This window comes from Homo sapiens, chromosome 5 (genome assembly GCF_000001405.40).
Source record: "Homo sapiens chromosome 5, GRCh38.p14 Primary Assembly".
NCBI lineage: Eukaryota > Metazoa > Chordata > Mammalia > Primates > Hominidae > Homo > Homo sapiens.
The window spans coordinates 13,912,681-13,937,830 of NC_000005.10; the positions used below are offsets into that span (position 1 = coordinate 13,912,681).

Consider the following 25,150-nt stretch of genomic DNA (forward strand, 5'->3'; position numbering starts at 1 on the left):
TATATAAATTGTCTAAAACAAGTATGGAAAAGCTACTACATTTTGATGTAGTAATTTTAAAGATTTGGGAACTTGAGAAAATCCTGCTCTATGACTGGATTTAATGGTCACTTAAGATTATTAAGTTAAATAAAGGAAATGATTAATCGTGACCTTTACATCAACTACTCAAACTCAATCTACTTAATTATTTTCTTGACAGATATTTATTGCACATCTACTATGTGCCAGTAAACTTAAAATGTTTCCTGCTATATAAAGGTATTTTCTTTATCTCTCCCAAAACTTGGTATACTCAGGAAATGAAAAAGATTCCTTATATTGGGCTAAATTGTTAGAGTACAAAAATTAGTGTGTAGTGGTTAATTATATGATCCTTTTCAAATTCAAGTACCAAAAAAAATTTAAGATTTAGTGTCACTGTCCCCCAAAAAAGAAAAAAATTGACTATGTCCATATTAAGAATTTAAAGCAAATTGTTTGTAAATTGTTTTTCTAAAATCTTCGAAATGTTATTAGGTCACTATGCCCACTTTCAAAACTAAAATTAGTCACACAGATACCATGACAAGATAAAGCAGTTAAAAATCAAAATAATTAGGGAAATCACATCTAGAATAAAATCAGGTCCTTTATATTTTTTAATATGGGTCCAAATAAAATGCTTAAATGCAGAGATAATTGAGTGCCACAAAGTACCTGGTGTCAACTAGTGCCTGATACAGTATACTCTTCATTAAATATTTCTTGCAAGAATAAATAAAACAATAAGTTACAATTAAACATTTTTCTTGTGCTACTAATGAAAATGCTTTTTTAATGGTGATTAATTTTAGACTATTGGAAAGTCATTCTTATAACCACACACCTGAAAAGAACATATTAGCACCATTACACAATTCTCAAACAAATCTAATTTCTTTATTGTTAAAAGGCCATGAGATTATTTATATTTTACTTTACAGACTGATGATTTGAATCATTCTAAACACTGTTATTTGCATAAAATATTGAAGTTTAGTTGTGGATTATGTTATAAAATATAGCTTTAAAGTACAATACCTGGTATTTAGTGGCCATGTCTTCCAGCCCTTCAATTGTGGAATCTTGCAGGACTGAATACGTCTTGAGGGTTGTAAAGATGTCTATTATCTTGGCAAGGCGTCGGTGAAAAGTTTCGAATTTTCCAAAAATATACATCTCGCTAAAATCAAATTGTTTTGCATTTGGATTTTGTTTAAGCTTTTGTTTTGTCTTGTGAAAGCAGAGCTGGTATTCCTTAAAATCAAAAGAAAAATATACAACAAAGGGAACAAGAAAGGTATCAACTTTATTTTCTTAAGTGAAGGCGACAGCAAAATTAGGATGGAATTGTAAGCCTTTTCATAGTTTCATGCCTTTGCTTGTACTCACTCATCAGCCTGGAAAATCATCTTTTCACCTCCTCTAATCTAGCAATTCTAGATTCTAATCGGGTTACTCACGATGCAACTCAAAGGTGTGGCTTTCCCATCTTGGTCCCATGGTTTTGGTAATAGCATCCTTCTATGACTCTCTCTCCATTCATCTTAAAGATGCTTAAGGAAAACTACCTCATATTAGCTGTCTTTGTATCTCTAGTACTTACTGTGATATCAGGACATAGTAGGCTCCCAAGGAGGGTACAAAAAGGTGAATAAATTTCCTGGGAAGGTATATTAACATTCCATTTTCTTCATAGTTAAGAATCACTGTTCTTTTTATCAACCAATGATATAATAATTACAAAATGATTTAAGATGGTCTCAACAAAAATAAGATAAAAAGAATAGAACATCTAAATACTAAACTGACCATTACCTGTTTCAGTTTAATCGCAGATAGTATTTTTTCTTCAACAACATCCTGTGGCTGGTTCCAGATGGAAGCGGTTCCATTATTGGTAATATAGGCTTTACATGCAGATATAATCTGATTTGTCACCTGGGATTTTCCAATAAAATGATGTTAAGCACATAAAACAGCCATGGATTGTAAACTGGACTAGAAGGTCCTTAACTCTTCTACTTCTCAGAGTTCACAATCTTCTAACTTGAGCTTGGGTTTATTTTTTTTCCATCACAGTTATAATCCACCAATAACCCTTTGATATTGTCAAAATCATTTGTGAAATCACAGAGTTGGAAGCACCATGGAAAATCGACAATTTAGGCCACCTTGTCTATGCAGGATGAATGTCTTAACAAAACAAGGAAGGATTCATTTCCTTCCCTGAAAACTGATGAGTTTCCCCAAATCTCCTTAGGTAGCCTGCTCTAATATCTAACTCACAGTTTACTAGCACCATGTAAAGTACTGCCGATCCTGATCTTTTCATGTGACCATGATCAGCAATGGAAATGTCAAAAGGAGAAGGCCGCAGAGAGAAGGAAAACTAATGTACAAAACCACTAACATTTTATTCATCTCTCCAAACTTCACAAAAATCCTCAGAAATGTATTAATTTTTTGGATAAAGCATAAGGAAAATTAAATGACTATGCTGTATCCATGGAAAGATATGATGCCCAGGATTTACAGTGCAAGGGGTGGGGGTATAGGTGAAACAAGATCAGCCATGCGTGGATATCTGCTGAATCTAGGTGATATGTACATGGCATTCCAGTATACGATTCTCTCCTTTTGTACCTAATTCAACATTTCCATAATGAAAGGTTTTTTACAATTAGATAAATGGTGGTTTCATTATTTTATGCTAAATCAAGTTTTGCAAATAATATGCATAAAATCTTAATTAATAACACACATTTACTTGTGGGTGTCATTTACCCAGGGAATACTCTCGCAACCCTAACATATAATTTTAACGTATAAGGAAGTTGGGAGGGAATCTTGCAGCCATCCCTCCTGTCTACCTGAACTACCTACATGACAGAAGGAAAACGTTTCCTATTGAGCTCTTAAGGCTGGATGTCTTTATTCCCAGGAAGAATTGTGCTTCCTACTGCGTTAGTATTCAGAACACGAGTCTTGATTCATCAAAAATTCTTCTATTTTAATATAACACTTAAGATTTTTGCTTTGATAATGAAAAAGTCATTTACTTCTTAGAGACTGTTCAAAATGAGAATAGCAACAGTGCTTACCATAAACACTTACGAGTTAGGACATAAGGTTTAAGCATCGTTATGTTTTTTGGCAGAATCATTATAATTGCTTTATAGATTACTAGAACATTGCAAGTGGCTTTTATTACCATGATTACTGTTCTAATAACACCAAGTAAACAACTGTGGCATCAAATAAATTTGGAACAGTGGCATATGAAATATGAAACAGGAGATAGCCAGTTAAATATAGCTTTTCTTAATTAAAATTTACCCAGTAGGAATACATGATGTGCTAAACCACATAGGAAAGAAATTCCAAGAGCAATCTTTTTTCATTTGTATTATATAAATAATAAAATATTTATTATAATAATTACTTTGGGAAATAATGCTTTATGATTTGCTAGAATCAGCCTCTGACATCAATTTAATTCTATCTCTATTGATAGCCTAAGCCTTTTTAAAATTTTAAGATACATACATATTGAACTGAGCCAATGTGGTAATTTTTAATTATCAAAAAATTGATCACTGGCAAAGAAATACAAATGAACATGGACTCTACATCATGCACTTACCTTTACAAACAGAGATGTGATCTTCTCAGAGGTATTATAGTAATGAGAGATACTATAGATCATTTTAATTGCATTTATAAGTGTAGGAATAGCATCCATCATGGATAGCTGAAAGATATCACCAAAGTTTTCAGAAAAAATCATCAAATTCAGCAAAATTCTAATAGACTAACCATTCCATCTGCATTAAAATAAAGTTTAAGAGCTTTCTATTAAAGATTTAAAAATACTATTTAATGCTTTACATGAAAATAATATATTTAATATTAATTTTATTAGTCACATATGGTTAATCAAATTTTATTTCAGTGGAAGAAACATTGACCCACTGTTAATGACAAGCAACAGCAAGTTAACTGTTAACTATTATTAAGGATAAACTGTTAATAACAGTTAATGTTGTACTAAGTAAAAGCAGGCACTTCCGAAAGCTAAAAGATTAAAAAAAAACATCACTAGCTAATGACTTTTCCCACAGTTCTTTGGGGTATATAGTTCAGAATGTCCTTTGCAATATTTAATGGAAAATGTAACATGCAATAAATGTTTTAAAATATAACATCTCATATACATCTTCAATAGATAGGAGGTAGACTGCTTAGAGAAATAGATATAGAAATACAGATATTTGTGCGTCTGCGTGTATATACCTATATATATGTAATTTTCTTGAAAATAAAGTTTCTAAGACCTTTCCAATGAACTGTAATATTGATGAAACAAAATTCAATATTCAATTCAGCTAGTGCAAAAAGGGTTATCTATAGACTGAAAGAGTAGAAATCCTTAACTCACGGGATCACTGCTGTACAAAGGGTCACAACATTTTTCAAGTGTATACAAGTATTTCACATTGTCCTTTGCTTCATTAGTTGCATCAGTGATTCGAATATCCATCTCCCGCCAAGTCTAAGCACAATAGGGAAAAGCAATTTTAATGTAATTATTAATAGAGGAACTTCCAACACAACCACTGCTAAGAGTCACCACAAGTCCATTAGGCGAGACCTTCTGTCCATCTCACAGAAAACTGAATCCAGAGGGGCGAGAGATATTGCTATGCTGGAAAGCAATTTAAAATTTTTGACTCAATGTTTTAAAGCATATCTTCCAGGGCTTCTCATATAAAATCTATGCTATGACTATCACAGAGCACCAGGAGGGCAGCACCGCCCTTTAAACTCACACGTTCTCCCCTGCACTGGTTAGCAGACCCATTTGATACCACACTTCCATATTTTCTATCTTTCCTCTATTCTAACCTGAACTCCCTTCCTATATCCCTATACATTTATCCATTAATGTAGTAATTGTTTATTATCTGCCAACTGTATGCCAGTACTGTGCTATGAGCTAGGAACTTAGAAATGGAAAGATAATCTAAAAGTGAGAGAAGTAAAAGGAAATTATTTAGCACGTCAGTACATTCCATTGACTTCACGGAAGTCTGACTGATAGTATTTCTGAACTGTATTGCAAGGCTCACCTCTGCTATTTCTTTGAGGAATAATAGAAGGTAAATCTATAGCACGTTTATTGCAACAAATTATTACGTATCAAAACATGCAAATAGCTAATAACACCCATGCAAATAGTTAACAAACAGTCTTTCCAGCACCAGTGCCAGGTGAGTTAGGCAGCCTCTATGACGGTCCCCAGTGACCACAGACTCCCTGTATTCAAGCTCTTGTATTCATCCCTTCTCCTTGATCATGGGCTGAATCTAGTGACTTGCTTCTAATAAGGAGAATATGGCTAAAGTGATGGGATGTCACTTCCAGAATTAATTTACATAAAGACTGTGGCTTCTAGGTTGGGGACTCTCTTGCCCTCCTTCACTTGCTCCCTTTAAGGGAAGCCAGCTGCTATGTTCTAAGCTGCTCTACAGAGAGGCCCATGTGGGAAGGAACTGAAGGAAGCCTCTAGCCAACAGCCAGCAAGAAACTGAATCCAGCAACAACCAGATGAGTAAACTCAGAAGCAGATCTTCCCCGCGTTGAGCCCTAAGATGAACCCACATCACAGCTGTAGCCTCATGAGATACCCAGAGTCAGAGGCACCCAGCTAAGCTGCACCCAGATTCCTGGCCCATAGAGTGTGAGATTGAAATATTGGCTGTTTTTGTTTTTTGTTTTTTATTTTGGCAGAGTCTCACTCTGTCACCCAGGCTGGAGCGCAGTGGCACGACCTCGGCTCACTGCAAACCTCCACCTCCCGGGTTCAAGCGATTCTTCTGCCTCAGCCTCCCAAGTAGCTGGGACTACAGGCACACGACACTATGCCCAGCTAATTTTTGTGCTTTTTAAGAGATGGGGTTTCACCATATTGGCCAGGCTGGTCTCAAACTCCTGACCTTGTGATCCACCTGCCTCGGCATCCCAAAGTGCTGGGATTACAGGCGTGAGCCACCACGCCTGGCCTATTGACTGTTTTAAGCTGCTAAGTTTGGAGGTTGTTTTGCAATATAAAACTAATATACAAGGACTAAAAAATAAATACAGATAGGGTGAGTTTTCATTATTATTATTTCTAGCTGGTCTGAAATCATAAAACATAGATATATATATAAACATGCTATCATGTTCTGTCTTAATTACATACAATGCCAATAACACATATACATACACGTACACCAGCTAACAATTGCCTTTCATTCAAAGACTATTTCCGCAGCCTCCAAAGTGATGTGAGGGAAGTATTATGTAATTTTAAATGTTTTTCATCAAGGTATAATAACATTTTTTTGTTCCTAATCACTCTATGCCTTGAAAATATGCATAGAGAACTCTTATTCCCATTTCACAAGGCAAAATGAAATGGCTGACGACCTTCAGCAGTTTCGACTTGGCCGCCGCAAGCACTGCCAGCACAGCCTTCACATCCGGGCTTTTCAATTGTTCCAAAAGGTAGTTAAACTTGGAGAGTCTTTTTTTCCAGTGCTCCAGCTCCGCTCGTGGCCCAACGTCATCCGCTTCCTTCAGCAGCTGATTGTTTTCAGCAAGAACCTGCAAATGCGCGGGGAAAAACACGAGCCATTGCACGGGGCTGGAGACGCTAAAGTTATAAACAAGCAAAAAACAAATAAGGAAATCAATTATCCTATCTGGATCATGATATATGCGTATTCCATGCTTCCAATAACAATCTTTTACTCACTTAGCATGCATCCATTTTTAAAACTTCAACGAAAATCTCTTTGAATTGTTTTAACTGAAAACAACTTATGCTTTCCTCTTTTGAAAATAGTTTATATTTTGGGGGGTTTTTAAAGATTTTTGATTCATACTTTTTTCTTTTATTGATACTTATTTTACATATTTATGGGGTACATGTGAGTATTTGTTATATATGTAGAATGTGTCATGACCAGGTCAGAGTATTTGGGGTATCATCACCTTGAGTACTTATCATTTCTACGTGTGGGTAACATTTCAAGTCCTCTCTTCTAGGTATTAGATTGGTGCAAAAGTAATTAGCCATTGAAAGTAATGGCAAAAACCACAATTACTTTTGCACCAACCTAACAGTTTGAAATATACAGTATACTGTTGCTAACTACGGTCACCCAATCTGCAATCAAAAACTACCTATTTAATGAGCTGTAATGAGCTTCTGAAGGCCATGACCTCAGGAATTTTTCTTGGCTATTCATTTACTCTATAACCTTGGAGGAACATGGCCTTGTTAAATTGCATGGCTCAGGCTAGTGGATTTTAATTGTGCTTACTTTGTAATGTAATGTCCACCTTCATGCCTTCATTGAGGACTTTTCTGAATTTGTGTTTAAGGTGAAGTCTCAAGCTCCCTTTTGGAGGACATACTAAATTAGAAAACTCCTCATGCTTCTACAGGGGTTCTCTCCAAAGTAAATTAGACATTGAGAAAAGAAACTGGCAAAGTGCAGCGTTTGAGTGATATAAGTATATGCAGCCATTTTCTTTCATTTCTTAGAATTCTTACTACCTCTTCTTAATTCATGACAGTAAAGGAAAACCACATTGGACCTCTCACCTCCTCAAGGATTTACAGTAAAACGCTTAACAAATGGAATGTCGTATGTCAATACACCTTCTTCCATTGTCTAGCGCAGTAATGTGGCACCTGAAATTGATGTTTGGTTTCTCAAAATTACCTGTTCTGTCTGTTTGATCCATACTTTCATGCAATCCTCTATTTTTCCCAAAGTCTCAGGGTTATTTGCTAGAGTCAAGTAGTCCGTAGGTTCCTTTAGGGTTTTCAGTTCAAGTATGTCACACTTTCGAAGGTTCACCTAATTAGAATGAAAATTAAATAATCAGATGATGCTTTTGTAAAACACACAGACTGTGGGCCCTGTGTTTTCCACTTTGCTGCACTCTGACAGCGCTCTGGAAAGCCCACCAGGTAGCACATACCTCCTCTCCACTCCCACGTGCCTTTGTCCACGCTGCCCCCAGACTGATGGGACCTTCCAACACTTCCCTGTGATCCTACACAACCTCACAATTCAACCCAAAGCCCACTGCCCTCTCCCACTCAGAAAGAATGCCTCCTCCCACCTGGGGACCCATCCCATTTTGGTAATACTTTTATTGCAATATGAAGTGGACCCATATGAAAAAAACACTGCTTTTTTAGATAGAATGCCAGCAATTTTATTTTTTTAGTAGTAAAAATGTTTGCTTTATTCATGTATACATATGTAACAAACCTGCACGTTGTGCACATGTACCCTAAAACTTAACGTATAATAATAATAAAATTAAAAAAAATTTTCAACATGTAGAATGCCAACAATTTTATTTGGTCCAACCTGCAATTTGGTCTGCCCTCCATCACAGTCAATCACAAATATAATTTGGGTGTTAGCTGGAGTCATCCTGTGTCTGTCTGGATAAAATTTGCTTAACTCCCCCATTCCACATCCTTTGGAAAGCGTAATGCCCCTTCCCCAATCCCAGCAGGATCAGCATTCCTGGGAGAGGAGGGCAGAGTGTCACACTGTCATCATTACCATAGGATCCATTTCCCTACCTGCCCCTACATGCCTGATCTGGGCTCTGTCATCTCTCTTATTACCTTATCTTCTCTCTCTCTCCCTCTCTCTCTGTCTCTCTCTCTCTCTCTCTCTCTTGCTCTATCTCTCTCTCACACACACACACACACACACACACACACACACACACACACACAAGCGTACATCCATCAACCTCTGCCCCAAGTAATCACAAACACAGACTTATTATAAACAGCACAAATCATACAGAAACTAAATGTCACCTTTGCCAAAATTATTCTTAAAGGCCCTTTTGATCATTGGCTGAATCACAGGATCAGACTTGCTCTCTCCAAACATATCAATTCCTCTTTCCTTCTTCTGCTTCTTCAGGATCTCTTCCCACCTCCATCTGCCGCCCACACACACCCCCCCACACACACACACACTTCAGTTCCAAATTCCTTTCATTCTAGGATGCACAGCAGTGCCACAAGCATTTCTGACTCTTGCCTTTGGAGTCACTCATCTGACTGACTGAGTAAAGCCCTACAACACTGCCAACGTTTTTATGGAACCCCTGAATGTGTTGATCATTACAAACTGTAGAAATTTAAATCTAATCACCACCACATCTTGAAGGAGCAATAAAATTGCCTACAAAAATTTTTGAAGAACTGAAACATAGAGGAATTAAGACCATCTAAGAGAAGCATTACACACTTATGTACTGTGCTTGTTGACCACCTGATCATTTTTAAAGGAACAGCTTATTCGTCCTCACCTTCTCCTTCAGACTCTCCTGTGCACCCGACAGGACGTTCACAAAGCCTTCCAGGGAGCTCAAGAACTCCTGGCGAATGTTAGCTGCGTCCTGAAGGCCCTCGAGCTCGCCCCAGCCATGGCTCGTGGCTCTGAGAGCAGGAATGAAGATGTCCGACAGCAAACGTCTCACACTGTTGAGCAGGCCTCCATCTGCCGCATCTAACATGTTAAAACTCACCTCCTGGAAAACAGGCAGGAGATCTTTTATTGTAAAAATCATCCTCAAATGCAACACAACTACTAAGTCATTTCTTAAATGTTGTCACTTTACCAAATACCCAGTAAATTATTAGTTTGTGCCAGGTGTGGTGGCTCACACCTGTAATCCCAGCACTTTGGGAGGCTGAGGTGGGGGGATCACTTGAGGTCAGGTGTTCGAGACCAGCCTGGGCAACATGGTGAAACCCCATCTCTACTAAACATACAAAAATTAGGCTGGTGTGGTGGCAGGCACCTGTAATCCCAGCTACTCAGGAGGCTGAGGCAGGAGAAATCGCTTGAATCCAGGAGGCAGAGGCTGCAGTGAGCCAAGATGGCGCCACTGCACTCCAACCTGGGTGACAGAGCAAGACCCTGTCTCAAAAAAAAAAAAAAAAAAAAATCAGTTTGACAACCTGGTTAAGAAATAAGCTTTACACTATTCTAAATTGTAATCATCAAAATAAAAGCATGAAATAAATAGAATACCAGATGTTTACCAGTTTATTTGCTCCAAGAAGATAGTGCACCTGTCAGAGGGAAGGGGAAAACTTGTACAGATGCATTTTACTTTGCACAAAAAAAAAAAAGTTATATATCCACTTTCAGAAATCTTATCTTAAATGTATAAAATTTGCCATTAAGTAAATTATGCATGGGGAATTCATTAGAAAAAGAAAGCCCTCACTGTTATACACACACCCAGAAGGTTATATCAATTTGTGTTAATAAATTGAATATTAAGTCCTCTTACTCAAAAGATTTAAAGGGAATGTCCTCTTAATTTCTTGCTTTAAATTTTTAAAAAATACTTCTCTGAAAGTAGTTTTAGATACTGTAGTGAATACAATGATTGTCTCCACCAGAGGAATATTTGTGTGCAAGTTGTGTGTTTTTTGGTAATTCAGAGTAAACAATGGCTCTTGCCCCTTACCTGGTGGATGTTGTCAGGGGTGATGGCTTTGGAAGGGTCAGTCCTGATGAAGAACACACATACCCCAGTAAGAGCCACATCGTTTCCCTCGGTCACGAACACCTTAGGTTTTTTAATCTTTCCAGAAACAAGATTTACCCCTCCTAGAGAGCCAAGTTGTCCTACAAAAGCAAAATAATTTTAGTTTCACAAATGCTTTTTGCAGTCCATGTGGTTCCCTTTGGAATGAAGTTTCCTTGTTAAAATATTGCCATTGTTGACTTGTCCATGTGCCTTAGATGGGTCCACCTCTTGAACAATCTCTAGCATGAGCCGTACAGGGATCTTAAAAAATCTGTTTGATTCCAGATCATAGGTTCACTTCAAAACTGTTGTTTCAGGGGCAGTGAAAAGAGGGAAGGAGGACAATGTATCTACTGGCATGTACTGTGTTCCAGACCCTCTGCTAGGTACCCTGTGTACATTATTAAAACTCACAACCCGGCTGGGTGCGGTGGCTCACGCCTATAATCCCAGCACTTTGAGAGGCCGAGGCGGGCAGATCACCTGAGGTCAGGAGTTCGAGACCAGCCTGGTCAACGTGATGAAACCCTGTCTCTACTAAAAAAAAACAAAAATTAGCTGGGCGTGGTCGTGGGCACCTGTAATCCCAGCTACTTGGGAGGCTGAGGCAGGAGAATCACTTGAACCCAGGAGGCGGAGGTTGCAGTGGGCAGAGATCACACCACTGCACTTCAGCCTGGGCAACAGAGCGAAACTCAGTCTGAAAAACAAAAACAACTCTGAGGCAGCTGTGACATGTTCCAAGTCAAACAGCCAATAGGTGGCAGAGCCAAGGTCGAAAACCAGCTCTGACTACAAAACTCGGAACCCCCACTTCCCCATGCTGTCCCTACTCTGTCATAGTCAGCATACCTGGTTATATTTCAAATACTGCTGCAGTCAGGGTCTTGTAGAGGTAGGACCACTTAATGATTAACAATGTGGGCTCTAGAGTCAGATTCTCAGAACTTCAATCTCAGGCTGCACTCCCAGCCACGTGACCTTGGCAAGTTACTTTATCTTTCTGTGCCTCCATTTTCTCATATTCACATCTTAAAAATGAGAATAATATGGCCGGGCGTGGTGGCTCATGCTTGTAATCCCAGCACCTTGGGAGGCCGAGGCGGGTGAATCACCTAAGGTCGGGAGTTCGAGACCAGCCTGATCAACATGGAGAAACCCCGTCTCTACCAAAAATACAAAATTAGCCAGGCGTGGTGGCACATGCCTGTAATCCCAGCTACTCAGGAGGCTGAGGCAGGAGAATCGCTTGAACCCAGGAGATGGAGGTTGTGGTCAGCCAAGATCACACCATTGCACTCTAGGCTGAGCAACAAGAGCAAAACTCCGTCTCAAAAAAAAAAAAAAAAGAATGATACTAGAACTTAGCATCTGAAATTGTTGTGAAAATCAACACACTGTGTAAAGTCCTTAGAAAAGCACATAAGAATACTAGCCTCTGTAAGCATTATTATTATCAGTACTTGAACAGTCATCTTTGATTATCCAAGCATGTGGCTCATTGAGTAGATAATTTAAGTACATAGAATACACTCTGAGCTGTTTCATTGTGTTCTTACCTGCCCAAGAAATGTTTAGATCTCCAAATGGACCGGTAGCTCAATCAGGATCACTGCAGTGGGAGGATGGCGCTAATGGTGGACTTTGGGATGGGGAGTGGACCAGAAGTTGAATCCTAAAATCCTGGGATTGGAACCTCTTGGAGTAATCCTCCCTCAGGGATCTTCCTCCCATGGTGCTAGGCTAGAGACCTTGACTGTGGCTTGGACAGTGAACCCTCATTAAAGGTAACTAGAAGATCAATCTCCCCCTCATTCAAAATTGCATCCCGCTCCTGGCTAATATCACCTGGGTCTCATGAGTAATAAGATGTTAGGCAACAAGTTTCAACCAAGGCACCAACGCATGATAGACATCAGAAAACAGAATTTCAAAGGAAAAAAAAATCTGCAGAAATTTCAAAGCTGTTGTCCTAGAACTGATTAGACATCTTCTCCCTGGCCCCCATCAGAATGCAAAAGGGTCAAGAGCGTGTAGACTAAGGAAGGATTTTGTGAGGACAGTTATGCTAAGTATTAGTCCATTTTCATGCTGCTGATGGAGACATACCTGAGACTGGGCAACTTACAAAAGAAAGAGGTTTGATTGGCCTTACAGTTCCACGTGGCTGGGGAAGCCTCACAATCATAGCAGAAGGCAAGGAGGAGCAAGTCACGTCTTACATGAATGGCAGCAGGCAAAGAGAGGATAAGACCCAAGGAAAACAGATTTCCCCTTATCAAACCATCAGATCTCATGAGACCTATTCACTATCACCAGAACAGCACAGGAAAGACCCGCCTCCATAAGTCAATCACCTCCCACCAGGTTCCTACCAAGACACGTGATAATTGTGGGAGTTACAATTCAAGATGAGATTTGGGTGGCGACACAGAGCCAAACCATATCATGCTATGCAAACGGTGAGGTTATAAAGTGTTCCTACTTTTACCTCAGGTCAAGAATGAGACTGCAACTGTCCCAGCTTGCCCAGGACAGGGGGGTTTGCTGGGATGCAGGACTTTCAGTGCTACAACCAGGACAGTCAGTCACTCCAGTCAATAAACAAGGTCTTCAACCCAACCACCTAAAGAGCTTGATTTATGTCTCCTGGAGTTTAGGAACAAAATGACTGGGATATGACACCTGACCAAGAAATCTAAGCACAGTGCTCAATAAGGCAGATAGAGAGAAACTGGACTGCACGGGGAGCTAACAGCACCACCATGGAGGGCAGGGACCTAGGAACCCAGGTGGGGCCCCTGCTGAAAAGAGCCAGACTGGAGCCACCTTAAATCCTACTCAAAAGGAGCACCTGAGGGAGGATGGGACAGAGTGAGCGAGACTGGTGGCTTAGACTACCAAATTTCAGAGGCCATCATCAGGACAGCCTGTCACCTCGGGAGAAACCACCACCGTGCCCACAAGAGCAAGGTAAGAGTGCAAGGTCAGCAGCTCATGACAGCGCTAGTCCAGTAAAAATTTTCCTGCCCCTCTTCCCTCTTACCTCTGCCCTGCCTCTGGCCTCACACAGTCAGCCACTTTAGTTAAGCTGATGTGGACAAGGGGTAGAAGACGAAGGTAGGGAGAAAAGCACATGGTCCTCCCTCTTCTCCTACTGAGAAGTTCAACCTTCAGAGAAATGGGAGGTTCAAGGATGAGGAGGGAAGAATATTTCGCTTTCCATCAACTGGACAGTTTTGCTTTTTGAGTTAAGGTTGTGTTTGTAATTTGAAATGACTATAGAATTTTTTGTAATCTAAGAACATCCAGGAAAGTCACAGGATTGCTTGCATTCTAATCCAAGTTCAGAAGGACTATCACCAGTGAGAAGATTTAAAGGTTAAACTTGGTTTTATGTTTACATCCTACGAACACTTCTTGGTCCAAGTAAAATTTACGCAGAAGGCCAGTTTCATCCAGTGCTCCGTTCATGGATAAACTTGATCTTTCATTTGAGCTTATGTTTTGCAATCTGGTGTAGAAACCAAACCTTCTATCTCTTGATTTTTCACTTAAAATGTAATAAGCTTTCTAAGCACAAAATATCAAATTGACAGCTTTGAGAAAATGCCAGTTCGAATTTGCATGCATAATTTCTTCAGTTTTTAAACAAAGAAGTATAGTCTTACTATATGCCAAGAGCAATAGCTATTTTCCCTTTTATCAAATGGGTCATAAAAAGGATGTATATAATATTTTAATATATTAAATAATACATTTAATCAGATATTGACTTATCTTCCTACTTAGGCCTTTAAAATTACATTAATCCACTTAAAAGTAGAATAGACTATGCCAGTTGAATCTATAGAAAGATTTGCAAATTTGGGCCAGGCACGGTGGCTCACGCCTATATCCCAGCACTTTGGGAGGCCGAGGTGGGTGGATCACAAGGTCGAGAGATCGAGACCATCCTAGCCAACATGCTGAAACCCCGTCTCTACTGAAAATACAAAAATTAGTTGGGCGTGGTGGCGCGCACCTGTAGTCCCAGCTACAGGCTGGGACTGTACTTTGGGAGGCTGAGGCAGGAGAATTGCTTGAACCCCGGGAGGTAGAGGTTGCGGGGAGCCAAGATTGTGCCACTGCACTCCAGTCTGGTGACAGAGCGAGACTCTGTCTCAAAAAATAATAATAATAAATAACAACAACAAAAAAAAGATTTGCAAATTTTTCATAAATGAGAATGATGAAACCTGTCATCCAATATTATTTATTTAAAGCAGAGTCAGTAGAAAATTAACACAATGTGATAGCTAACTAAAAAGGGGTGTTACACATGCTGGCAATAATTCCTATGTTAAAAAGAAATAATGCCTATATACATGTGAAACAGGTGCCCATTATAAGTTCTAGAACATAAAACACAGAATGAACTAGAATATAAGAAAAGGAAGTCAAACGTAATCTACTTTATTATCTTCATTGCCAGCACAGCCTGAGAAGGAATATGAGACAACTCCAATAAAGTTAGAACAACCAGGCTAAATACCAACTGTAATCTGTCCTCCATCCTTGAGGTGAAACAGAACTTCTTCCACAGGGCCACACCCTACACACTAATGGTTTCCCACATGGACCCACACACGCATCTCCCTCCCGCCCGCAAGGTGAAACAGGTCCGTTCTCACAGTAGCTTTCTTCTTCAAGCTACCCTCAGATAAATCTAATAACACATTTCTGGGTTATGTCACATCAAATTCAGATACCTGTTTCTGCTTCCTCCACATCTTGATAGTAAAACATGAGGTGTCGGAGACCTCCAACAGCAAAAAGTTGATCAATTCTTTCAATCTGGGAAAAAGAAAAAGGCAAGATAATGATTTTCAATCCAAATTAGAAACTGCAATTAAATCAGCATTAATAATATAAAAAAGGAAAATTTACTGTCATCTTTCTTATTCAAACAGGACTGCATCTAATGTATCCTATAAAAAAGGGAGCATTTACATCAAAAGAATAAATGTCTCACCATAGTAAAGACTCTGTTCAAAAAAGTAATTTCATGAATCATAGAAATATTTGCTACTTATGCACATTTGAAAAGCATTGTCCATCTATATTTGCAAATTCCCTAAAGTGTTGAGCTGTTGAAGGGAGATTTAAATAGAGATGAGTGCTTCAGTCAACTGCAGATAAGCAAGAACAAACCTTTCAAAACTTAGTCTAACACTCTAGAGATAATTAATATTAAATTGCAATAATCACCAAAACTGCCATGAGAACATATCTGACTATGAACACACCTTCCAGTAAGCAACCTGGCACTAAGCTGGGACTAAGAGTCCCATCCCTGAGGCTCACTGTAAGTCTACAAGTCTAACAAATGGCCTGCTACCAACAGAAACACTTCTTTTAAATAGTCAATAGCACTGTTTGGAATTCATATGAAAATAAAAAGATAAAATCCACACACCCATTAGGCATTAGGATGGCTACCACCAAAAAACAGAAAACAGCAAGTGCTGGCGAGGATGTGGAGAAACTGGAACCCTTGAGCACTACTGGTGGGAATGTAAATGGTGGAGCCGTTGTGGAAAACAGTATGAAGGCTCCTTAAAAAACTAAAAATAGAATTGCCACATGATCCGGGAACTCCACTTCTGGGTATATATCCCAAAGAATTGAAAGCGGGCTCTCAAAGAGATATTTGTATACCCATGTTCATAGTAGCATTACTCACAATAGCTTCCACAAAAGATGAAAGTGACAGATAAAGCGATAAACAAAATGTGGTATACATATACAAGGGAATATAATCCAGCCTTAACAAGGAGGGGAATCCTGGCACATGCTACAACATGGATGAACCTTGCAAACCTTACACTAAGTGAAATAAGACGATCCCAAAAAGATGAACACTGCATGACTCCACTTGTGTGAGGTACCTATGGAATAGTCCAATTCCTAGAGACAAAAAGTAGAATGCGGGGGTTGCCAGGGGCTGGAGGGAAGGAGGACTGTGGAGTGGTAGTTTAATGGGTACAGCGTTTCTGTTTTTGTAATAAAAAGCATTCTGAAGATTTATTGCACAGTAATGTGAACGTACTTAACACTAATGAACTGTACACTTAAAATGGTTAAGATGGTGAATTTTATGTTATGTGTATTTACTACATCTTAAAATAATGTTTTTAAAGGATAAAATCTAGCCTGAACAATTAAATGTGAAAAATAAGTCCCCTTCAATTTCCACCATGATTGAAGATGCCACAGGGACGAGGAGGAAGGACTCCCCAAGATTCAATTCCAGGCCAAGAATGCAGTGAAGGGCATGCTTCCATCACAGCCAGTATTGAAGCTCCTATCCCTCCCCTCTGTGCTTGAGAGCCTGAGCCAGATGCTTTCTTTAAACCTCCAGGTTCTGACATCCCTGGGTTCTGACCTTGACATAGGAGTTTAACCTGGTATCCCTACAGAGCTGAACTTTTGCCTGCTTCTTCCCCTTGCATATTCCCAAATCCAGATGTCTGAATTGGGAAGCAGGGTGGAGTTAAGCATTTCACCTCTGGAACAATCTCCCCAAGTGGCCCTCTCTGCTTTTATGCCTCCATATTCTGGGAATAATATTATCTACCTCCTGGTATTATGAAGATGGAAATGAAGTCATAGATGAAAGAGACTGAGAACAGGGACCGACACATGGTAAACATTCAATAAGTGTCAGCTATGAGGAGAAGGAGAAAGAGGAGAAGCACATTTCCTCAGCTCCTGCTTGATCCATCCTGTAGTTTACCCATTTTCGTGTTATCCATTCTTAATTGTTCCCCAACTCCTACTAACCCCACCAGAGTAGCCCAGCAGGAAGGAATGAAGCCAGTGGTGTGCCACAGATGGCTCGTACTGGCCCAGGATATCCAATGGATCATAACTCTTTACAACTCAACATTTCGTTAACATGATGATAGTAGTTTGGAACCAGCCATTGTGGGAGTATTTACACCACAGAAATTAGCAGATTTTCAAACTAGTACCTCCCTGCCTACTTCCTCCAACCTTGCCCAAATCCAGTTGTTAAAATTTACAAGACTACCACTGAAAAGAATTCCCAACGGTGTGGCACCCTGTCAGCAAAAAGGGCTTGTCTTCTTTCTTTTTTTTCCTAATGTCTAATTAGTTTCTTTAAAAAATCTTCAGGAATCATCATAGGGCTGCTTATGTGCTTTTCTCACTGCCCAGGAAATTATATCTTCCCATATTTTGGCCTTCCCTAACCAAGGTCAAACACAAAGCAAATCACACCCCCAGTTTTAAAGAAAAATTGTAGCAGAAGATGGGAACAAAAGCAAGCAGGTTAGGAACAAAAGAAAGCAGGTTCAGCTGCCAAACCAAAGTGAAAGCCAGAAAATCATGGCACAAATCCAGTGCCTAGAACAGGGGAAATGCACAAAAGACGAATCGGCAACTTGAAACGAGATTCTGTTCCCCGGCTTTAGTTTCCAAAATGGCATGAGAGCCCAGCTTCACTGGATGTAGAGAGATGCAGACAATGCCATCAGAATCACGGAACTCAAATGACAATTAGAAGTGCCCCTATTCAACATGGAGAGCTGGAGAGCCTTAAGCTCATTCTGCAAGCACCAGTACAGAGTCAGAATGGAGCCCTGTCCACGTTAAGACAGGCACCTCCCTCTGGGCACAGCATGGGATCCTGCCACAGGACTGTGTCAACAGACCATCTGTGCCCTCCATCATCAAGTCAGTGAGAAGTGAAACGCATCCCACCTGATTCCCTTCAAGAATGGCATCCTCCACTTCGGTTTTGTTCAGGTCCAAACAGGAAGCCACAATTGCAAATAAGTAGTTATGCCTCGCATCCAAAAGAGCCCGCTTGGCTTCCTTCTCTCCCTTCAGTCTTTGCTAAAAGAAAAGAATAAAAATGTTACATGGAAACTGCTGTTCTCAAGTGGATTCATTTTGTAATAATTTCATACAATTGTTGTTTTTTCAAGTCTTAGGTATCCAGATAATAGACAGCTTAATGGTACCAATTTTTATGTACTATCTTCTATTTTTAGAAATAATTTATTTCTCTTATGAAAATAAAGCATGCTCATTGTTGTGAAATTGCAGAATACAGAGAAGCCAAGAGAGAAAAATCTGCCATCCAGAAATTATTATTGTTAACATTTTGTTCTAAATCTTTACACACTTATTTCTATGCATATATAAGCATTCAACAGAATATCAAAAAAAGAGATCTCCATTTTTGTAAACATTTTCCTAAGCCATTAAAGTAATATTTTTTCTACAGTATCTCCTATCTTTATTGTTTATCTACAGCTACATATTTGGTCTTGAAATTAACTTCTGAATACCATTGCTTGCTCTTTAACTATCAATTGTTAATTATGAGAATAAGGCATGCTTAATGTAACCAATGTTGGCAGTTTGAAGCATGTCTTTCCTTATACTGTATGATCATACAATCCTATTCAAACATATGCACACACCTATATTTACATCATACTATAAAATGTTTTCATGCATTTCTCCCTTAACAATGCATCACGGACTTCTTTCTAGTTTAATACAGACTATTCCATCCTGTGTAATAGCTGCAAAAATATTCAGTATGAATGTACCATACTTTATTCAACTATTTTGACACTGGTAGACGTTCAGCTTCCAATTCATTCTTGGAATAATACATTACCTTTAATGCCAACCAGTAGCTCCCACTGGGAAGAGGAAAAGTGGCCCCTCTGGATCCCTTCTTTTAATCAACAAACATTTGTTAAACCCCTAATATGTGTCAGCACTGAAGAGACTAACACTACCTGGTAACCTCAAAAAAGCTCATGGCCTGGCTGGCAGGATGTGAGCTGAAAATTTAAATATGACAGATGGCATGGCAGTTGCCACAGAGGCATCAGATTTATGGGTCTCCAAATGCAGGGGCATTTATGGGTCTACAGAGAAGGAGCAAAAAGAAGGGTCTCCCACTCTAGCCTGGAGTTGATAAGGGGTAGGGGTGGGGATGACAGGACAGCTTTCAGGAGGAGGTGGCTGAAGCCTAGCATTGAAGGAGGGTTGGTCATACTCCTAGGACAGTCGCCTTTCTGCATACACAAAGGCTGAGAGGCACACAAAAGCACATTCTGAAAACCACAAGGTAGCCAGGATGTGTGAACTAAAAAGGACTAGGAAAACATAATAGGAAATGAGAAAAAAGTCAGATAATAAATATTTTCTGAACCACATTACAAAGTTTAACTGTTATGTAAAATCCACGGAGAATCACTGATGAGTTTCATATCAAGAGAGATAGGTGTTTAGCTGTCTGTGCAGCACTGAAAAATCCATCATTCTGGCAGCAGTGTGGAAAGTAGGCTGGTGTGATGCATGCCCAGAGGCAGTCAGGTGGGTGATGGTGGCATTCCCAGACACTGGGTTCATCAAGAGGAACAAGTTGAAGCAACACAATCATAAGTTCAGCTTTTGGATGTGTAAGATTTTGAGGTGACTCAATACACAGGTGGACGAGGCAGACAGGCCACTGGAAATGTTCAAGGGGAAACTGCATTGCAGATACAGATAACATGCAGGTTCTCAATTTAGCACGATGACTTTATGAGACAGACCATTCTTGTTGTGAGGAGCAGTCCTGTGCAATGTGAGGTTTTAGCAGCGCCTTTGGTCTCTAACTTCTAGGTCCCAGTAGCCTCCACCACCAACTCCTGAGAATAAAAAACGTCTCCAGACATTGCCAAATGGCCCCTGTGGGACAAAATAACTTCTCCTGTTCAGAACCACTGATATGATACAGACATATATATAGATATAGACATAGGCACATATAGACATAGACATAGAGAAGACGGTCAATATAAAAGCTACAATGTCAAATCAGTGTGAAAACAATGTGGTACCTGTTGGAGTTGTGCAGTACAGAACCTGCAAAAGTACACATCAACAGCTCTTTCAACCAGCAGGTGGTATGTGCATTCAATAAATATTTGTCAAATGAATGAATAAATCAAAGTTTAAACCATGAGTGCAGATATGATTTTCTAACAAACATATTGAAATGAAAACACACTAAAAAAGTGAAGAAAATTGGGGACCACCAGTATCCCAGGAGCAAGGAGAAAAAGAAGTGCAAATAAAGAAAGCTAAGGATGAGGTTGGGCACAGTGGCTCATGCCTGTAATCCCAGCACTTTGGAGGCCAAGGCGGGTGGATCACCTGAGGTCAGGAGTTCAAGACCAGCCTGGCCAACGTGCCAAAACCCTGTCTCTACTAAAATACAAAAATTAGCCAGGCATGGTGGCATGTGCCTGTAATCCCAGCTACTTGGGAGGATGAGGCAGGAGAATCACTTGAACCCAAAAAGCAGAGGTTGCAGTGAGCCGAGATTGCACCATTGCACTCCAGCCTGGATGACAGAGTGAGACTCCACCTCAAAAAAAAAAAAAAAAAAAACTAAGGATGAATGTGCAAAGAGATAGAAAGGAGACCAAGAAACCGTAGTAGCAATAAATCATGGAGAGTGACCAATAGCAACAATGCTACACAGGATTGGTTGGGTTAATTAGGATATCTTTAGGGATTGTGTTTACAGGATGGTTGCAGCTTCTCACAGCTCTTTTGCAGTGTGACTGTGCCACTAACCTGTCAAGAAATAGACTGTATTTCCCCTCCCCTTGAATTTGGCTAGCCCTATGGCCAGTTTTCACCAAAAAAAAAATCTGAGGGTAAATGAGATGGGACTTCCTAAGCTAGTTCTTAAGAGATCTTCACCTTCTGCCTTTGCACTTAGAATGTTGCCTCAGAACTCAGCCATGTAGGGAGACCACATGGAGGAGAACAAAACCTTCTGGTCAGCGGTACCATCTGACCTTCTAGCTGACCCCAGCACCAACTTTCAGCCATTTGAGTAAGCTGTCTTGGATGTTCCAACCTAAGTTTCCCCTACAGATGACAGCAAGCCAGCCAATGGCACCTGCAGAAGAACCACCCAGCAGAGCCCAGTCACTCACAGAATAAAGAGAGATAACAGATGATTGTTTCTGCTTTAGGCCCTTAAGTTTTGGTATGGTTTGTAACGCAAAAATAAATAATAGAGTAATTTTGTTAGAATAATTTCATTGGTTGGACAGAAATAAATATAGACTTGAGAAAAGGATGATTGGGAAAAGAGAAATATAAAAATGCTGAATATAAACTACTTTTTCCAGAAACTTGACTATAAAGGAATAGGGTATGGTAGTAATAGAGAGGAAAATTTAGAGTCAAGAAAGAATTTTTTAAGGTACAAAAGACTTACAGAAAAGTAAAGATGAAAAAGTTGGAGATTTCAGAGCAATTGAAAGGTTATTGCTACACCTATGTAATTGACATACATTTCTCTGAACTTGAAGGACTACCTATCTGAGAGACAACTTTGCTGGGGAGGTGGCAAGAGGCAGGATTCAGGTTTAAAAAATAGATAATCTACCTGTTTTCTCACCATTTCTTTAAAAACAAACATGTTAGTTCATTCCATAGACATCAAATAAAAGTACATTTAAAACTTTTTTCAAATGTCACTAAAGCCAGGAAGATGTCCTGTTGTTTTGAATTGTTTTCTGCCTTCCTGGCAGGGAGAAATAAAAGACTTTTCTCTAAGTGATCACTCTAAGTTTGTGCTAAATATCTTTAGCAGCTTGAGAACTCAGAGGTCAACCAGGGAGCCAGGAATTCAGCAACAACACAAAGAGATGGCAAATGCTTGGTAGCCAAAACTAAAAATAAAAGAAGTAGACAGCCAGAAGATTCAAGATGTAAAGGAACTGAGGGCTTCCAAAGAGCACAGAGATTTAAAAAAGATTCTTCCATGGCAAGGAACTGAGGCGTTCCAAAGAACACAGAGATTTAAATAAGATTCTCCCATGGCAACACATTACTTCATAACCCAATTGTTTCTGATTCCAGAGAAAAAAACATCCTAATGAAAAAGAGGGAAATCACTCCCTAAAATAGAAGACTAATTATTCTATTTTTACTTAAATATCACAGGAGAAAGAAACTTCCAAAGCAGCTTTATTTATATAAAGCTAATTATTGACATATTTTTAAGTAAATGTTTTCAGAAGTTATTTAATATATTTAAAAGCACGTTAAGACTTGAATATATTTTCTTATGTAAACTGATTGTTCTATTGCCTGAAGACAAGTAATATGAAGTCAATCCTAGTGTCATATAGATGAAATGCCACAATGTTTATCAATCTCAACTTTCATTGCATTACACTAAGGTATCCTGGGAATACTGAAATTGCTTTTTAACTACCATAAAAAAGTCAATAATGTCAAACAAATATTTAGCAATTAGAACAGTGCACTGTCAATCCGCAGACCTAACCCTGCAGCTTTCTGGCTGCTAAGGAACTGCAGCAACAAGCAGTCAGGTGACTAGTTCTTTGGGGGTTGGCTTGTCCTGCTGGCCTTTGAAACACCTAGGACACTTGGAAAGTGAAGGCAGAGAGGGATTAAGAAGGCAGGAGGTAAACTATGTCAAGACTTTTCTGGAGTCCTACTAAAATTGTTTTGCATTGCATGAAAAAGCACCAGTGAATAGGGGTGGGGAACATGGCCAGAAATCTATTCAATGTCCAAGGAAATCTAGAGCAGCATTAAAACATTGCGGCAATTTGTGATATGTTATTACTGCCTTAGAATGGGAGAGTGGCTAATGTACTACCTCACAAGAAAGGAGCTCTGCTTCCCAGGTGGCCAATCCTCCACAGACAAAGGAGCACTGATGTCAGAATGAGGTGGTAAGGTTCTAGTCCCAGCTCTGACACTAATTGCAAGACCTCACATCTTTCATTTAACCTCTCCAGGCCACAATTTCCTCAACTACAAAATGAAAGTGTTGGACTAGGTGACAGCCAAGGTTCATTCCTTCTTCAATATGTGGACTACTTCTCATGACTTCAAACGTTTACACAATCTACAGACTCAAAATTTTAAAATACAAATCCTAATGAATACCCCAAAAAGCTCAGTGACTGTCTCAAAAGTAATCTATCCATCTGATGTTTAAAAAATACTAACATTTGCCTTTAACTCTGTAGAACCAAAGTCCAAGTCTGCATGCTTATATACACAAACTGTGTATAAACTACATACATGATCAGTCTTTCATTTTGTCTCTAGGCTTATAATCCTCAACTATATGGGAGACCTTATAGAAATGAAGATAAAAGTAAAATGGAGATAAAAGTCCCAACTTGAAAGAGGTTTGTGAGGGTTAAATTGCATGCAGTTTGGTGATCACACTAAATCAAACAGCACTCGAATTAAAATGGCATGACCAAGGATTTGATCCTGGACATCAAAATTTAAGTGAAACAAAACATTTTCATAATGATTTCTTTTAATTGTACAAATGTTTAAGCTTCCTACACCCTTATGAAGCTCTGCCTTGTTGACAGGTTTGTTCCTGACACAGATCTACTCCACTGACCCCATTGGCAGCCAGCAGAAGTGGATGGAGGATGGGGCTATTGGGTCTGAGAGTTCTTTTGTGCCTAAGCAAGGACATCTTTTCCCAGACCCTCCTGAAGTGTATATTTTGCATTGTTTGCCCTGGTTGCATTGCCAGCTTGGTTCTGTTAGTCATCATTTGCTCACTATGTTTTGGTTTAATTGTCACAAAATCCCTATGAAGAAGACGTTATTATCTCCACACCAGGAAATCAAGACTATGGACCATTAACTGCTTTCCCAAAAGCACACAACTAAGAAAGTGGCAGGGTTGGGAATCAAGCCCTTGCTGTCCACAGGACCAGACCAAGACATAGGATGCCCAAGGGCAACTAAGAATTTTGCATAACTTCAAACTGATATTCCATAAGCACTTTTTAAAAAATATGCGCTTAACAGTTATCTAGTGTGCTCTAGCAGGAGACCCCATACAAGGGTTATACGAGGAGTTGTAGATGGAGACCAGTTAACTAGCACCGATTTCCTGAGTTATATCAGTGGTATTTTAGTGCCAGTGTGGACTGGTACCCAGGTGCTTCCAGCTGGGATTAATGTATTCAGTTCTCACTGCACTCCTGTGTCTCTCAGAAAATGATAACACCCTCACCCCATCTTCTACTCCTGAAAGTGTCTCGGAGGTTAGTTCCTCATTTGGGTAGTCAGTAGGTGATGCTCCAGATTCCCCCTACTCACTGCTGCTTCCATCTGACAGTATCACTGTTATCGACATCATACTGCATATACCAGGTCCTCATACAATACCTTTGCACGGGGAAGTGGGTAGGGAAAGGAATGGGTTCTGCAGCCAAAGAATATTTGGTTGTTAAAGAAAAAAGTTTTTCTAGGTGACATGATTAGCTTTGTTGCACGTCTGAATCTGAGAAAGAGAAAGAGATCTGACTTAAGGAAGTTCAGTTGCACACGTTGAAATGAATATATTTCTATTTGTTTGACTTGAGCATTTTGTTCTTTA

General features: G+C 39.5%; 1 protein-coding gene across 12 annotated transcripts in view; it reads right to left on the bottom strand.

Moving 5' to 3' along the window:
• DNAH5 (dynein axonemal heavy chain 5) overlaps nt 1-25,150 on the bottom strand; it is a 321,491-nt gene that overhangs the window by 222,353 nt on the left and 73,988 nt on the right. For 11 of the 12 annotated variants that reach the window (XR_001742034.2, XR_001742035.2, XM_017009177.2 and 8 more), the window contains exons 2-11: nt 18,430-18,564; nt 15,414-15,498; nt 10,600-10,760; nt 9,427-9,648; nt 7,800-7,937; nt 6,496-6,672; nt 4,463-4,576; nt 3,668-3,775; nt 1,840-1,962; nt 1,063-1,278 (exon numbers count right to left, since the gene is read on the bottom strand). Coding sequence is in view for 10 of the 12 variants with exons in the window: in XM_017009177.2 (XP_016864666.1) it covers nt 1,063-1,278; nt 1,840-1,962; nt 3,668-3,775; nt 4,463-4,576; nt 6,496-6,672; nt 7,800-7,937; nt 9,427-9,648; nt 10,600-10,760; nt 15,414-15,498; nt 18,430-18,564 (1,479 nt within the window). In the remaining 2 variants the exon portion in view is untranslated. The other variant, XM_017009179.3, reaches the window with a different exon arrangement.